Source organism: Homo sapiens, chromosome 11, assembly GCF_000001405.40.
Source record: "Homo sapiens chromosome 11, GRCh38.p14 Primary Assembly".
Classification (NCBI taxonomy): Eukaryota; Metazoa; Chordata; class Mammalia; order Primates; family Hominidae; genus Homo; species Homo sapiens.
Window position 1 is genome coordinate 83616893 of NC_000011.10, and position 17068 is coordinate 83633960.

At 37.5% G+C, this 17068-nt stretch overlaps 1 protein-coding gene across 63 annotated transcripts in view; it reads right to left on the reverse strand.

Moving 5' to 3' along the window:
• The window catches only part of DLG2 (discs large MAGUK scaffold protein 2), a 2173362-nt gene that overhangs the window by 161881 nt on the left and 1994413 nt on the right, over nt 1-17068 (reverse strand). For 62 of the 63 annotated variants that reach the window (NR_165353.1, NM_001351274.2, XM_017017256.3 and 59 more), the window contains one exon: nt 16319-16433. Coding sequence is in view for 62 of the 63 variants with exons in the window: in NM_001351274.2 (NP_001338203.1) it covers nt 16319-16433 (115 nt within the window). In the remaining variant the exon portion in view is untranslated. Of the gene's footprint in view, nt 1-12959; nt 13918-16318; nt 16434-17068 lie in introns of those variants that run through there. The other variant, NM_001377975.1, reaches the window with a different exon arrangement.

Here is a 17068-nt window from a genome sequence, read left to right on the forward strand (position 1 = left end):
AAAAAGATCATCCTTTTCCACTTCAGAGCAATTTTACTTTTGTCATAAAATCAAGAGGTTGTATGTGTGTGTTATTGTTTCTGCACTCTATATTATTCCATTGGTCTACTTGTCTACACTTATACCAATTTCATACTGCCTGTAATTATGTAACCTCATAATAAATCCTAACATCATATAATGTAAATTCTCTGACTTCATTTTTCTGTGTTTTGCCTATTGTTGGTCTTTTATATTTCCATATTAATATTAGAATCACTTTGTCTAATCTATCACCATCACCAACAAATAAATAAAAAATATCTTCTGAGATGTTGATAGGAATTGCAGTGAATCAATATATCAGTTTGGGAGAAATGAAATCTTTGCCACATTGCATCTTCCTATTCATGAATAAGGTATACCCCACATTTATGCATCTTCCTTTAATAACATTTGTGGCTTTTTTGTATAGTGGTGCTCTTTTGTCAGTTCTATTCCTATGACTTTAATGTTTTTCACTCCTACTGTCAATGATATGTTTAGTTTTCTTATTGTTTAGTATTGTTATATGGAAATACAACTGATTACTTTGATATTAACCTTGTTATTTAGTAAAATTGCTAAAGTTACTTTTTAATTATAGCAGTCTATCTAGTTATTTTGAATTTTAAACATACAGAATTATGTTACCAGAAAATAAGGATCATTTTATTGTTTTCCTTCCAATCATCTTACTTTTTCTTGCACCTCCCCTTAATAGCAGTAGTGATAGAAGGGTAGAGTAGTGATAGAAGGTGTCTCATACCTGTTTCCAGGGAAAAAGCTTCCAAAATTTCATTACTAAGTATGGTGTTTAGGCTGGCTCCCTGGCTCACACCTGTAATCCCAGCACTTTGGGAGGATCACTTGTGGCCAGGAGTTAGAACAGCCTGACCAACATGGTGAAACTCCATCTCTACTAAAAATACAAAAATTAGCCAAGCATGGTGGTGCATGGCTATAGTCCCAGGTACTCAGGAGGCTAAAGCATGAAAATCACTTGACTAGGGGAGGCAGAGGTTGCAGTGAGCCAAGATCTTGGCACTACATTCCAGACTGTGTGATGGAGTGAGACTCTGTCTCAAAAAAAAGTACAATGTTTGCCTTTTATTAGATTTAGGAAGCCCATTATTTTTCACGTTTTCTAAGAACTTTTGTTCACAGATGAGTTTTGAATTTTATTGAATGGTTTTCCTGTAATATTTAGATGATCATCTGAATCTTATCTTTTATTCTGTTAATGTGATTTTCTAATGTTAAAGCGTTCTTTCATTTCTGTAATAAATTCCAGCAGGTCATGATAATATTATTCTTTCTGTTTTGGGAAATACAGTCATCTAATATATAAAATATATCACTAGATATAAAATATATATCACTAGATTTATTTTGCTAATATTTGATATGTTTAATTTGATGTTTATGAGAGAGATTGGAGTATAAATTTCCTTTCTTACAATGACCTTGTTATGTTTTGGTATCACGGTGATGTTAACATTGTAAAAAGCTAGGAAGTACCCTCTCTTTTCTAATTTCTGAAATAGTTTGTATAAGACGCTAGGTGATTTACAAACGTTATTCCTCATAAACTTTAAATGAGTATTTCTATTATACCCATTTTATGGAAAAAGCGGAGGCCTAGAGGGAGAAGAATTATGTTACTGAGGTCATAAGAAAGGTACTAAGTGGCCAAGCCAGGATTTAAGGCCAGGTATTTCTGACTCCAGAACCCAAGCTTTTGGCCTACTCTACTCTGCTGTGAACTCATAAATGCATGGCTGATTGAGTTAGAATTCTACAGGACTTATCATTTCATTCTATGGTAGTGTATACCTCCTATGGAGGGGAAATATACTGCCAAAGATAACAACAACAACAAAAATACAGCTTTGCTTTTGGAACCTACTACAAGAGACTCCATCATAGTTAGCTTCTCAAATCTCCCCTATTTCCTACCCTCTGCATAGGTGTCAGATCCTGGAGCAGAATTTGTGTTCACAATAATAGCTTATTATTTTCCTCTGTTTTTTTGCAACTAACTTCAGCTGGATCCTCAAAGACATGTCTGATTCATCTTTTTACCCCTGACAGCATCCTATGTAGTATTTTATAATTAATACTCACTGAAGAAAAACTTAAACCCGTATCCATTCCATCATACTTGCTCTAAGGCAGTCAGAAGATCCTGCAATCGTCTTATCCTCTGTGTAGCATCCTGTAGCAGGAAACCTCATGCCTCTTTGCTAAGGATGCATCATCAACGAATGCATCCCATGGTTTACATCTGAACTAGTATAACTTCATGTCAAAGATCTACTCACTGACCATCTTTAACGTCCTCATTTATTACTGAGGGAGTTGCACTATATATTAGATGACTATATTTCCCAAAACTTATAGAACTTGCTTTAACAATTTTAAGTACCTACAGGAATGAGAGAGCATATATGAAATCAAATACATCTAAGAAAATGTGGTATTTCTAGAAGCCATGGAAATTAAGGTTAAGAGCCGGTATTTGGCATAGGACAGAATTGAGTTTTTATCATGTTGTCCTTCTTTGCTGTGTAAATATGGGTGATAACTTCAGCTATCTAACCTTGGTTTCATTAACTGTAAAATGGGAATAGTAATGATGCTCCCTCATAGATACTGTGAGAATTAAATGTTCACTGCCAGCTCCTCATCCTCAGGATACTTGAATCTATCATGTAATCAAGGGCTCATAAGAGGATTTGAGTGTGTTGTGGAGGTGGAAGTATCATGGAGGCCCCCATTTATGAGGAAAGGGGCAGGAACACAGAATTTTAGGAAAAGAGAAAAGTTATCTTATGAACAGCCAGCAATGGTGTTCATTCAGCATAGGCCTTTTAGGTGGAGAAACTCCCCACTCATCTGGATTTACAGCAACCAGAAACACAAGCAGAGACCCCTTCCTGATGATTGCCTAGGAACCCTCATTAACAGAAAAAGTAAGATGACACTGGCTCCAAAGAAGCCACTGGAACTAGTAAAGAGGTTTGTCTACAGTAAGAGCTACAAAGTTAATTTAAATGAGAATTAGATTTTCATGTTAGAGGGCATTAGAAGCTATTAAATACCCTGTTTGTTGCAAACTTATACTCAATTCACACCACATTTTCTCATTATGTTACCTGTGGAATCAGATAATTGTATGTTTTTTCATATATATAAAAGTATGGAATCCTGAGTTTGAAAGGACATGTCTGCCTTTTAAGACAATTAAGGGGAAAAAGTACATGAGGTAAGCAATCTGGTTTGAAACAATGTAGAATATACAATGTTATAAAATACAATGAAAGATACTATAATGTGATGATATCTTTAAAAAAAATCTGTTTTTTTAAACACACAAAATTGTATGTATAAAACGTGTAACTTTTTGCATATCAATTATATCTCAATAAAGCTGTCAAAAAGTGGGTCTGTTTTAAAATGTAGAAAGAATGACAACTTTAAAAATGAAAAATAATTTTGATGATGAAAGATTCCTTTTTATCTTTTAATAAGTATCACTGAAAAGCATCAGCTTATCACAGAAGATGGGTCTGGGCTTATTATTTATTGAGAAAATGGCATAAAAGATGAAGAAAGCATACGTACACAAAGAAAAAGAAAATCTAAAAGACGTCTTTCTTTGTCAAGAAAAGGACAAAGTTAAAAAAATGCATTCCTCCTGTAATCCCAGCACTTTGGAAGGCCGAGGCGGGCGGATCACGAGGTCAGGAGATCGAGACCATCCCGGCTAAAACGGTGAAACCCCGTCTCTACTAAAAATACAAAAAATTAGCCGGGCGTAGTGGCGGGCGCCTGTAGTCCCAGCTACTTGGGAGGCTGAGGCAGGAGAATGGCGTGAACCCAGGAGGCGGAGCTTGCAGTGAGCCGAGATCCCGCCACTGCACTCCAGCCTGGGCGACAGAGCGAGACTCCGTCTCAAAAAAAAAAAAAAAAAAAAAAAAATGCATTCCTAAGGATCTTAGAATGATTTAGATCCAAAATACTCAAGATTAAGAATTAAACAACTTAGTCATCATGATGCTTACTTTAATTTTTTTAGCTATAAGGTAAGATTATATGGATAGAAAAAATATGGAGATCTATCTAGTGAGGTTTTAAAACTACAAATTTATAATATTTGGAGGACTTTTTCTGATGCTCAGATTATGTTCATAAGTTTCTTCTGGCATTAAAATGCCCTCTCTTCTAGAAAATGATGGCAATATTAAAGAGCAACCAATTCAAATATATATTATAATTTGCCTTTTTGTTTATTATTTTTAGAATTCTTACTTGGTGCAATTTAGTTGTCAATTCCCTATCAACGCCATGATTTTTTTTTTCTTAATTGTAATGTTGCCAGTCAGGGGAATTTACAAATCTTGCACCCTCTGAATTTTGGCAATGACATATGGGAAGGACACAAGCATCCAACCGGTCTCACTGTTTTTCAAAGTCATCTGAGGCACTTTTATGCATTTTCTTTAAAACTTAGGCCTGAAGAGAAGGGCCAAGAGGCAGAAACTTTTGCAGAACAAGAAGACCAAAGTGTCCTGCAGGTGCTAAATAAATGTGAAATGATGCTACTTAGCTTTTGAAAGATTTGCTTTAGTGAAGACAGATGACTCAAAGTGGCCCCTTGACAGTTTAGGGCAAGTGGGAATGTAGTTTCTCAAGCAGGAAGATGGCTGGAAGAAAATGTTTCTACATATCATAAAAGCAGGCATATGCTTAATTTGTAAAAAATACTCTTTTAGAAAAAGAATAAGGCCTGGATCCTTGAAAATGTTCCCAGTGCTGATTTTGTGTTTCTTACCTCTACTATACTACATATTAAGGAAAATAATCATGCTTTTAGTTTTGAATTAAATGTCCTAAGTCGGGGGTCAACAGGAATGGCTTCATGGGTATGAGACCTGTGTTCCCCCGTCCCACACCTGGCATTATGCTCTGCTCTCACTGTCTTGCTACTAATTTTTTATTTTGATTGACTGATTGATTGAGACAGAGTCTTGCTCTGTCACCCAGGCTGGAGTTCAGTGGCAAGATCTCAGCTCACTGCAACCTCCACCTCCATGGCTCAAGCGATTCTCCTGCCTTAGCCTCCCGAGTAGCTGGGATTACAGGTGCCTGCCACCATGCCAGGCTAATTTTTGTGTTGTTTTGTTTTGTTTTTGGTAGAGATGGGGTTTCACCATGTTGCCCAGGCTGGTCTTGAACTCTTGACCTCAAGTTATCTGCCCACCCCAGCCTCCCAAAGTGCTGCGATTACAGGTGTGAGCCACCATGCCCGGCTTTGCTATTAATTTGTGAACAAGAATTGAGCATTTTCATTTTGCACCGGGCCCCTGCAAATTATGTAGCAGGTCCTGGGCAACCCATTGTGTGATAGGCACTTCAACTGTGCTCTTTAATGTGGGAATTCATAGGCATAGAGCTATGCTGGCTGTAGAATCTATCCTGGAACAAGAGAGGCAGGGACCTGGCTCATACAACTGTAATGATCACAACTCATTAGGGACTCTCTCAATTTAATCACAAATCCATATGCTCTGGGCATCTTCAAACTCAACTGTCCATTCGACATTTAAATTTTTGATGTAGGCATTTAGTGCTATAAACTTTCCTTTTAACACTGCTTTTGTTGCATCCCAGAGATTTTTGTATATTGTATTTCTGATTTCATTTATTTCAAATATTTTTTTATTTCTGCCTTAATTTTGCTGTTTACCCAAAAGCCATTCAGGAGCAAGTTGTTTAATTTCCATGTAATCATGTAGTTTTGAGAGATCTTCCTGGTAGTAATTACTATTTTTATTCCACTGTGGTCTGAAAGTATGGTTGGTAAGATCTCAATTTTTTTTGAATTTATTGAGAATCACTTTATGGCTGAACTTGTGGTTAATCTTATAATATGTTCCATATGCATATCAGAAGAATGTATATCCTGTGTTTGATGGGTGGAGTATTCTGTAGATGTCCAATTGGTTCAGTCACATTGAAGTCAAGAATTAAATTTAAGTCAAATTTAAGTCCAGAATTTCTTTGTTAGTTTTTCTGTGTCTATGATCTAAAGCTGTCAATGGGGTGTTGAAGTCTCCAACTATTATTGCGTGACTAAGTCTTTTCATAGGTCTAGAAGGTTTTATGAGTCCGGGTGCTCCAATGTTGGGTGTGTATATATTTAAGATAGTTAAGTCTTCTTGTTGAATTGAACTCTTAATCATTGTGTACTATCCTTCTTTATCTTTTTTTTTCTGTTGTTGGTTTAAAGTCTATTTTATTTGATATAAGAATAGTGACTCTGGTTAAATAATTTTTGAAAATTTAATCTGAGATGATTACCAAATAGGGTTCCATATTAATTTGATTAACAAGGGGCAAGGAGCCTAGTCAGTAAACCATTTGCAAGCCATGACATAATTAGGTAAAATATTAAATACAGTTAAACTCTCTCCAATTTGGTGACATCTGTAATCCATTCATTTTAATTGATTCAGCAGTTACTATATGCCAGACTGTCCGGAAGCAGAATTTAAGGAGATGAAATCTCCATCTTCGAGATACTCACAGTCCAATGGAGGGAGCAGGTGAGTCAACAGACAGGAAAGAGCACGTGAAGCCTGGAGGAGAGCTGTTCTGTGTGTGGTCCACAGGAAAACAGAGGAGCATGTGCTTGACTCCAGCAATCATTGGTGGCTCTCTTAATACCACTTTCTATTTAATCATCATCTTTAACTGCTAATCAAAAAGTTCATTCCACAAGTATTTAAAGTTAATTTAAAGAAGTGTCAGACACTGTTCAAACACTGAGACTTAAGGACAAGTGATTTCTGTCTATTTCCTTGTTCCCTTGAAACTAACCTAACCTACATGATTGGCAGTTGGGCAGGGGGAAGAGGGAAGCTCCCTCAATTTTTTCATGCCCTCCCCTCTCACCTATCCTCCTGTGAGCATTCTGTGTCTTACTTTTTACTATTCTGTTCTCCTTTTTAGCTAGAGCTGTCTAGTTTGTTCTAGAAAGTAGTCATTTTGGGTTATGAGGCAAAGTACCTCCTGCGGAGATGAGAGATTTCTGGAAATATGATTACCATGGGATTAGTGGAGAGGTAAGCAGAATCTAGGTTGTAGGAATGATCTGTGGGCTCCTTAATGGCAGAAAAGAAGTTTTATTAATCTTTTTATTTCCAGAGTCTAGCAGAGTGTGAGGTAGAGGTCTGTGGCTCAGAAGAGGTTTTCTGGATGAATCAATTAATGACAGGCCAACCATTAACAGTAATGAGATCTGGATTCTAGACCTTGAAGTAGAAGAATGGAGGAAAACGTGATGGTCAATGGAAGAGTCACTTATGATACTTTTGTTCCTCTTCCTACAGAAATATAAAAATTAAAAACCTTTTAAAATCAGGTAGCCTATGATTGCAGGGGAAAGAGGAAACTCCCAGATCCACAATGACTCCTCCTTCTTTCTATTTCTGGCATAAAATTAGCTGCCTAAAGACAAAGCCTTTTATTCCACAATTAAGGATACAACTAAAAATGCAAATCCCTGAAAGAGTAAGCATTATGCTAATGGGTCTCAAAATATAAATGAAGAATCAAAATCTATTCTGCTTTAAAGAAGGCACCAGTTTAGGAGGCAGGCTCTAAGTACTTGAAGCAATAAAAGGAACTCCCCTTTGCCTAACAAGTCCCATATAGCAGCCTCCTTCATACATTCAGTTTAACGTCATCCTAACAACAAGCCTGTGAACTAGGTACTATGTCCATTTTATAAATGTGACACTCAAGTTTTAGCAAACAATAAGCTATGCACGACTATCATTATCCATAACGATAAGTTATGAATTCTGGATGAGAAGCCAGATCTACTTGGAGGAAATCAGTACAAAGTATAAAACAGAAGTTATATAATCAATAGGAATTTAACCAGTGCCTTGACAAGTCTAGACTCTGTCCAGACTTCCTGCTTCATCCTGTTAAACTGTTTCAGGTACCTGATCATGTTCCCCTCCCAGTTACCTTTGCCCCCACTAAGTTTTTAAGAGAGAAAAGTAATTCTGAATTCAAGAAGTTTCTATTTCCTATTCTGCTGCAACATATCATAGTCAATATGTTTCTAAGTGAATAACTAATGATCTTGCTAAATAAGAATTATGAGGAAATGAATGTGTGCAATAAAAATACCACTGTCAGCTAGCCCTGTGCCAAGTACTGGGCAGGGGGGTGCACACAGCTAACTGTGGCATGTTCTCTGGGAAACAGCCAACATGTTGGGTCCAAGATTGGAGGGGAAGAAGACAAAAATGTGACTTATAACACAGTCCACGGATTTTATGGCTTTGCCTTAAATGTTCTCAAGAAATCCATCGCCAAGTGAAGCTGGAAGCAGCTTGTACCACTGGAGTGAAGAATCCTGCCATTCCACACTCTTCTTTATCATCCCCAGGATACTAACCAGCAGTTAAATGGGGCAGGAAGTAGAGTGAAAAGACATGTTTGCTACTATAGAGAAAAATAAATGACCAGAGTGTCTTACCTGCATGATGATGTAGCTTTTCCCTCCCACCAAAATCAATCAGGTGGGACCACCCTTCCCCCAGAACAAAAGCTCAAAGGCGAAGTGTCTAGGATGGAATGTGTTTTCTTGAGACTGCTCTTGACATAACTTCAAGCCTTAGTTCCCAGGAATAGAACGACTAACTGTGTTGAGAATGAGGTTCACCCTGGGCCCTTCCCTTACTTCAAGTTGTCTCACTAAGAGGTTATGGGCTGTGCGTGCTTGTCTAAATCCATTATTAAATTAGGTCCCAATTTAAAGAGTTTGTCACACAGTTTAGCAAACAAATGAAACAGCCTGAAAGGCCTTGCAGCACCACATATTTTCTGGAAATCCCAGTAGCAGCAGGTAGAGCCTGCATCCTGAGGATGCAACCAGACTCGATGCACTTGGTGTCAGCCAAGCTGGTACTGGATTTCCATAGGATTGTTCAAATACCTTGGCTTATATTTTAATATTTTCTCTCACATTTGTGTAGGAAAGATAGTCTTGGAATTAATTCATTTAACAAACGTTTCCTAAGGAGAATTCTTTATGCCAAGCACTGTGGCATAATGCACTAGAGCTATGAAACATCAAGACATTACTGGGATTTGCAGGTCCAGTATTGAATAATACTGATTCATTTCAAAACATTTTATCATAAATGCTTAACAAGGACCAGAGCAGTCACTATCTTAACAGGTGAGTTTCAAATATTAGTGGTCTTCTGGGCAAATTTCACTTCAGGGAGTCAATAGGCATGTTGTAAAAATCAAAATAGGATAATAATTGCAAGGCACATAACACATGGGGTATCAGGAAATGAATTACCATTTCTATGGTCTGCATACTATTTGGATTGCCTATAGATCTAGACTGTGAGAAACTTGAGGAAAGGGGTTCTGTGGTCTTATTCATCACTGTGCCCTTAACATCTACTACAGACTGGTACATTGCAGGTAAGTACAAACACCATATTTATTGAATGAAAGAATCAAGGCATGAAGGAATCAATTTATGAATGCCTTAAGTTAAACGAGGGGCAAGAAGCTGACCTGAGTGCGTTTGTCATATTACATAGCCTTTGAGGCAAAAACTGTCTCAGGTAGTAGCAACTTTGAGTAACATATAGACTTAGAACTACTGTAAAAGAAATAAGACTTTGAAATTCAGAACGAAACTATGAGCAGAGGGCTGGAAAGGGGTGAAGAATGCCGAGGGGAAATAGAAGAAATCATGTGGTTAGGAAGACTGATAACATATATGGAGACTTGGAATGGCCTACTGTATATGCAGTGAGTCTTTCTATCATGTGGCTTCTACTGAATTCCTTTCAGGTTCTGCCTCTGGGTAGAGCCTTGTTTGGATGAGAAATGCTGATGAGTTGACAGAGCTGAGCATTCTGGAGCCATGGAATGCTGGCCATCTCCTTCAGGCTTCATGGGGTCCAGAGGAGCAAAAATCTAAAAGTCATCAGAAAGTCTATCCTTCTTCCTTTGCTGAAGGCAAGCAATGGGATGAGAGAGGCTTATCTCACTGCTGAGAAAACAGCGTCTTAGTCACAACCAATTCTGTGGTCTCTCTGTCTGACAGGGAAAAGGTGGCTTCATAGTAAATGATGAATATTACCAACATTTATCAACGACTTCCCATGTGCCAGATATCTAAATTCACTATTTTATTTAATTCTCACAACCACTTATTTTATTTTATTTATTTTTTATTTATTTATTTTATTTTATTATTATTATACTTTAACTTTTAGGGTACATGTGCACAACATGCAGGTTTGTTACATATGTATACATGTGCCATGTTGGTGTGCTGCACCCAGTTAACTCGTCATTTAGCATTAGGTATATCTCCTAATGCTATCCCTCCCCTCTTCCCCCACCCCACCCCACAACAGTCTCTGGTGTGTGATGTTCCCCTTCCTGTGTCCATGTGTTCTCATTGTTCAATTCCCACCTATGAGTGAGAAGATGCGGTGTTTGGTTTTCTGTCCTTGCGACAGTTTGCTCAGAACGATGGTTTCCAGCTTCATCCATGTCCCTACAAAGGACATGAACTCATCATTTCTTATGGCTGCATAGTATTCCATGGTGTATATGTGCCACCTTTTCTTAATCCAGTCTATTGTTGGTGGACATTTGGATTGGTTCCAAGTCTTTGCTATTGTGAATAGTGCCGCAATAAACATGCGTGTGCATGTGTCTTTATAGCAGCATGATTTATAATCCTTTGGGTATATACCCAGTAATGGGATGGCTAGGTCAAATGGTATTTCTAGTTCTAGATCCCTGAGGAATCGCCACACTGACTTCCACAATGGTTGAACTAGTTTACACTCCCACCAACAGTGTAAAAGTGTTCATATTTCTCCACATCCTCTCCAGCACCTGTTGTTTCCTGAGTTTTTAATGATCGCCATTCTAACTGGTATGAGATGGTATCTTATTGTGGTTTTGATTTGCATTTCTCTGATGGCCAGTGATGATGAGTATTTTTTCATGTGTCTGTTGGCTGCATAAATGTCTTCTTTTGAGAAGTGTCTGTTCATATCCTTCGCCCACTTTTTGATGGGGTTGTTTGTGTTTTTCTTGTAAATTTGTTTGAGTTCATTGTAGATTCTGGATATTAGCCCTTTGTCAGATGAGTAGGTTGCAAAAATTTTCTCTCATTCTGTAGGTTGCCTGTTCACTCTGATGGTAGTTTCTTTTGCTGTGCAGAAGCTCTTTAGTTTAATTAGATCCCATTTGTCAATTGTGGCTTTTGTTGCCATTGCCACAACCACTTTATGGTATCCTATTACTATACTCATCTTCACAGATAAAGAAAGTAAGCCCAGAGAAACTGATTCGTCCATGGTCACAGAGCTAGGATGTGGCAGAACCATGATTCACATGTTTTTCTACCTGGCAGAAGCTAGCAACTGTGTGCTTAAATGCTGCTCTACAATGTCTCACAAATAGGATCTGAATGTCCATGCTCATGTTGTCTAGCTGTGGGATCGTGGGGGAATCATTTAACTTCTCCGAGTTTCAGTTTCTTCATCTATAAAATGGAGGCAATATCCCCTGAATCATAGTGTTTTGGGGAGAATTCTATGGGATAATACATGTAAAACAATAGAATAATGGTTGACCCATAGAAAATGTCTGACAAATACTTCCCTCTATTTCTACCTCCTCATCTGCATCAGGGATAACTGCCTTCCAAGCTGGCTACAACACCAAGGGTCTAAGGATCCTCGATATGTTTAATATAAGGTAGTAAAGACACTCTCTTTTGTTTGTCTGTGTACCGTGTTATCTGCCTGGCATGTTCCCTCTTGTCTATTCCATCTGTAAGCCGTAAATCATGACCCATTAGTGAGTTATTAAATCAAGTTAATGAGCTATGATCTCCATTTTTTAAAAAGGAGAGAAACAGAATGGAAAATAACAAAGTACACTGTATACAAAAAGTGTTATTACTATTTAACAAAAATGTTCTTTCTGTTTTATGTGTATATGTATTTACTGGGTCAGGATAAATAATGTACTTCTTACTTTGCTTCTAAATATTTGAAAGGCTCTTGGTTACCTCATATCAGAGCTTCAAAAATTACTTAGATATCTTTCCATGGAAGCAATCAAGATTCCAGGCCTTTCTAGAGCTAACAGATCTTTTCATTTCACATTGCATTTAATTATCTTCCCTTCGTCTGTCTTCCCCAGCAGACATAAGTTTTTTGCAGACAGGAAACATGACTGTTACTGCTGCGTCCTCAGTGTCCATTATAGGTCCTGGCACATAATATACACTCAAAAAATGTTTGATGAAGGTCTGAATAAATCACAGCAACTGTTTCTTAAATCCACATTCAAAACTCAGAGGTTATTTGCTTGAACTCTGAAAATCGATACGTTTTATTAACAAGTGAACAGGGCTGAGTTTTTCTTTTACATTCTTTCCTGTGACCTTTTTCTCCTTCCCCTTGGTGGAATGATTTGCTTTTTTTCCTTGCCCTCCCCATTCTCCCAGCATCCTGGGTACTCTAGCTTTCCTTTTATCAAAACAAAGGATTGTTCTTTAGAAATCTGCACTTTTGTATAAATTTAACCCCCATATCTTTGGCTTCTCCTAGTAGCATTTATACAAAAGGTGCATCCCTGTTAGTAGCAGGAAAAGCCTTGTTCTTTCTTTATTATACCAGCTTTTATCAGCTAGTAGATAAGAAGGGAAAAGGATATTTTAGAGTAGGGAGATCTTCATGAGCTCATAAACTCACTCTTCCAAGGCAGTGAACGAGAGCCTCAAAATACACGCAATAAAATTCATATTCCAGTAGCTCAGGAGCCTAAATGCATCTATGTTTGAAGAATTGATAATGTACTTGTGCAGCATTTTGAAAAACATTTTATTCATATTTGTAACTTTATTTACTTTTAAATGAACTACATGTTTCACAATGCTTTACTGCTATATGTTTCACAATGCAGGAAATACACAATACAAGTAGCATATTAAATCAAACATACCCAAATCATTCCCACAGAACAAGAACAGTTAACATTAGCAATAATCAGTTCCACTTGCACAGCACCACTAAAGTACTTCAAGCACTTCACACGAAAGATTAAAGGAAAAAAAGTATAACTAGATTAGAAAATAGAGAGGGTTGGCTCATATTTAAAATACTGCCTGGCTCAGAGAGTGCTGGTTACCACTCCCTTCAAAATTTCAGGTAAACAAATTGCTACTACCTGGGAAGATCATTTCTAGTGGGGAAATGAAGGCAGCTTCTGCAAGACCCCAGGAAGGTACATTCTCTCTGACACCACCAGGACCAGGGCTAGAGTTGGGAGCATGCTTGTGAGCATGCGTGTGTGTGTGTGTAGGGTATGGGAGGTAAATCCAAGGGGAAGAATGGTTTTTTGGTGCAAGCAAATATTTTACTAAGTCAGCTAAATTGTTTCTCACAGAACAAAGAAGGTGCTTGCTTTCTGATTTAGGTTTTGGCTTCACAGAAAACTATAAATAATACCAAAGAAATCCCACATTCCTACAGCACAGTTTATCCTGTGCAAAAACCTCAAAGACATTTGTGTTAGAATTTCTCCTCTCCTTATTCCTTAATCAAAGAGTCCAGCACTGTGCTGACAGAAGCAGATTGGGAATCACAGCTAAAGTGTATTCAACAGCTGACACCACATAAACTAGGCCCTTAGGGAGGCAGAGTGATGTGGGGAGAAGTATGGGACTGGGGGTAGGAGAGCTGATTCTGCCACAGATAGCTGTGGGATCACAGGCAAGTCTCTGTCTCTGTTCTCCTCAGGTCTCAGTTTCCTCTTCTGTAAATTAAGCAGAGGGCCCAATGATAGCTAAGGTTCCTTCTAGCCCTAGAATTACATAAAGCTAAGTAAAGTGAGGAGAATAACACCATTTTCAGGATGTTATTCTCAGATTTGAGACATGATCATCCTCTTATATTTATATAATCAGAGAAACCCTGCTAGTAATTTATTCTGAGAGAGCAAGTAGTTGACTTTCTAAAATAAACACAACTGACCGTGGTCCTATACAAGCACTCTAGACAAAGCAAGCATCTGTATGAAAATCCTGTAGCCAAAATTAGTATTCAAGAAGTACAAAGGTACAAACTTGTTGAATCCTTTTTGGTAAGAATTTCACTTAGGCCTTGCTTCTTGCTTTTTTTTTTTTTTTTTTTTGGTCTGTTTTATCACTTTTCATGAGAATAAGGCCAGGGGGCTCTTGTAAGTTCTTTCTTTCTGATTTGCTGATATGACTATACGCATGGCCCATATTTCTTTTAATTTCATGTCTCTTAGAGTCATTTAGATGCTAAAGTCAGCCCTCTAGGTACAAAATAAGTAGTAATAATTGAACATTTGGAAACTAAATACCATATTTGTATATTACAGAGATTTCATTTGGGGACTTTCTTATGAAATGTCAAGTATTTTTGAGTCTCATTAAAAAGAGGTTCCTCCTTTCAATACAATCTCCAACCATTACTTTGTTACTCTAAGTCTTTGTCTCTTCTGTACGTTATACTTTTATTTATGATTTTAGAGAATAAAGATCTGAATCTAATTACTACTCTTTCAAATAAGTGTATTAGTTTTATATAATATCATATCACTTCATTTAATTTTCTTAATCTTCCAAAACTTAATAGCTATTAGCAATATATTTCAGCAAATTTCTTCTAGTATCTGAACAATTTATGCATTCTATCTCTTAATAAGACACTTGGTAATTTTCCCTCCGAGCTTTATTATATATATAACCATTTCAGTTACACTAACTGATTTAGTTCTATCCTATTAACCCAGCTGACTTTTTCCAATTTGCTACCAGGGACTAAAACATTTCAAAATTTAAAAATACTTTGTAGCATGTAGACCAGCAATACAACACAAGAGAGAAGAAGAACCACAAATGGAGCTTGTTAACTTTCCATCATATTTGTAATGTCACTACAAGACATGTTTTAGGGTGGTTCTGAACAGTCACAGATTACAATTAAGGGTATCAAAATAATCTTTTGAAATGGAGTTGGCCAAATTCATAGGGTTAATAACTTGTTTTTCTTAATCTCAGGGCTTCCCTGGAATAAGAAGGGACTCTAGGCTTATCAGTTCAGTCGGGAAATTAAGCCCTATGAGAACCTGTGCCTTCCAGAATCCCACTCCCTTCTTAGCCCTGCTGTGAATACCAAATACATACAAAACTTAACTTTAGAGCCAAAGTGGAACCAACAGCAAAAGTTCAACTCAAGCATGTAAATTAGTATCTATAACATATACGTCATGCCTAAAATTTCAGGTAAGAAGGATATGACCTCAGGCTGGAGTCAGATTGAATTCAGGCCAGAGTGGGGAGTGGAGAATACAATAAGAATGGGCATGGTTCTTCCATATGGTACATAGATTCATGTTGCCCGTTAATTAGGCATCACTTTCTTCCTTTTGCCTGTTAGTACTTATATATTTTTAAAAGTACAGTCAGCACTGATGAAGTTTGGAAGTAATACAGGAAGCTTGTCTTGGAAGAGGAGCATGTTATAGTTGAGTGTTGATGGATCTTACTCAAGAGGTAGCTACTAGGATGAAAGACTGGAAGGCATTTCACATTCAATCAATCATTTATCTTTTTCTGGTAAATTGATGAGTTTTGTCAGACAAGGAACAAGTAACTTCTATGGTCTGAGAAAAAAACTGGTAGCGAGATGACACAGAAGGAAGTCTTTCTGCCAAAACTTGTTAGAGAAAAGCACATAACTCTTTAGAAGAATGCCGTGGATTTTAAACTGATGCACTAAAGTTAATGCAATCAGTATCAGGCAGGTTAGGAGATAATACAGGAATATTTTCTTTTCACACTGATGGTAAGTAAATGTCCAAGGGTTTGGTCCACATATGCCATTTAAGATTTATTAGAAATGAAAATGTTTCTTCTCATTATTTTTATTGCAACCTATGCTGAGCATTTTATCCTGAATCATAACTTTGCCAAAGAATAACTTGATAAAAGCAGGCACCTTTAACTAATTTAATCTAATAACATTTCAAACATTTATTCCAAATGCTTAAACACAAGGTCTTTCAGTAGTGTACTGATGAAAGTGGGTTAAGTGGGACACATGTTCTGTTGCTACATGGTGTTGCCTTTGTTTTCTCAAGTTGAATTGCTCACAAAGTGCAGATAGAGAAATACTCCTTTGCCTACCTGACGTAGAGGGAGCGTTTCTGATTGGTTCGCAGGGATCCGGACCCGGAGCTCATGCTGTGGTTCATCATCTGCTCTCGTAGGTCATGGATTTTGGCCTCAAATCGAGCGTAATCTGGGAATGAAAACAAAGGTAGCAAATTTTGCTCTGTGCCCTCAAGAGTTGGAAATGCTGCACAGCCCAGGCAGCCCCTCACCCACGTTGTTGGTTCCTTTGCCAAACAATGGGGAGATGTGCAACTCAAGGGTATGCCTGTTTCCTATTATTTATTCACAGACATTTATAAGAGGAAAATGATAAATCAGTTATTTCCCAAAACGTACCTGGAAAACACACCACCATCAAATTCCCAACTTGTAAAAAGTCCATGGGGGCTGGGAGAGGGAGGATGGGGGATCATGGGAAGGCAGGGAGGTAGATGTGGTTATAAACAGGCAATGTAAAGTATCCTTGTGGTGATGGAAATGTTCTCTATCTTGCCTGCACGGTGGATATTGGTAACTGCACGTGTGATAAAATTACACAGAACTAAACACACACACACACACACACACACACACACACACACACAACTGCGGAAAATCTGAATAATATCGATGAATTGTGTCAATGTGAATATCCTAGTTGTGATAATATGCAATAGTTTTGCAAAATGTTACTATTGGGAGAAACTGAGTAAAATAGTTATTTCTTACAGCTGCATGTGAATCTATAATTACCTCAAAAACAAAAAGCAAAAAGCAAAAAAC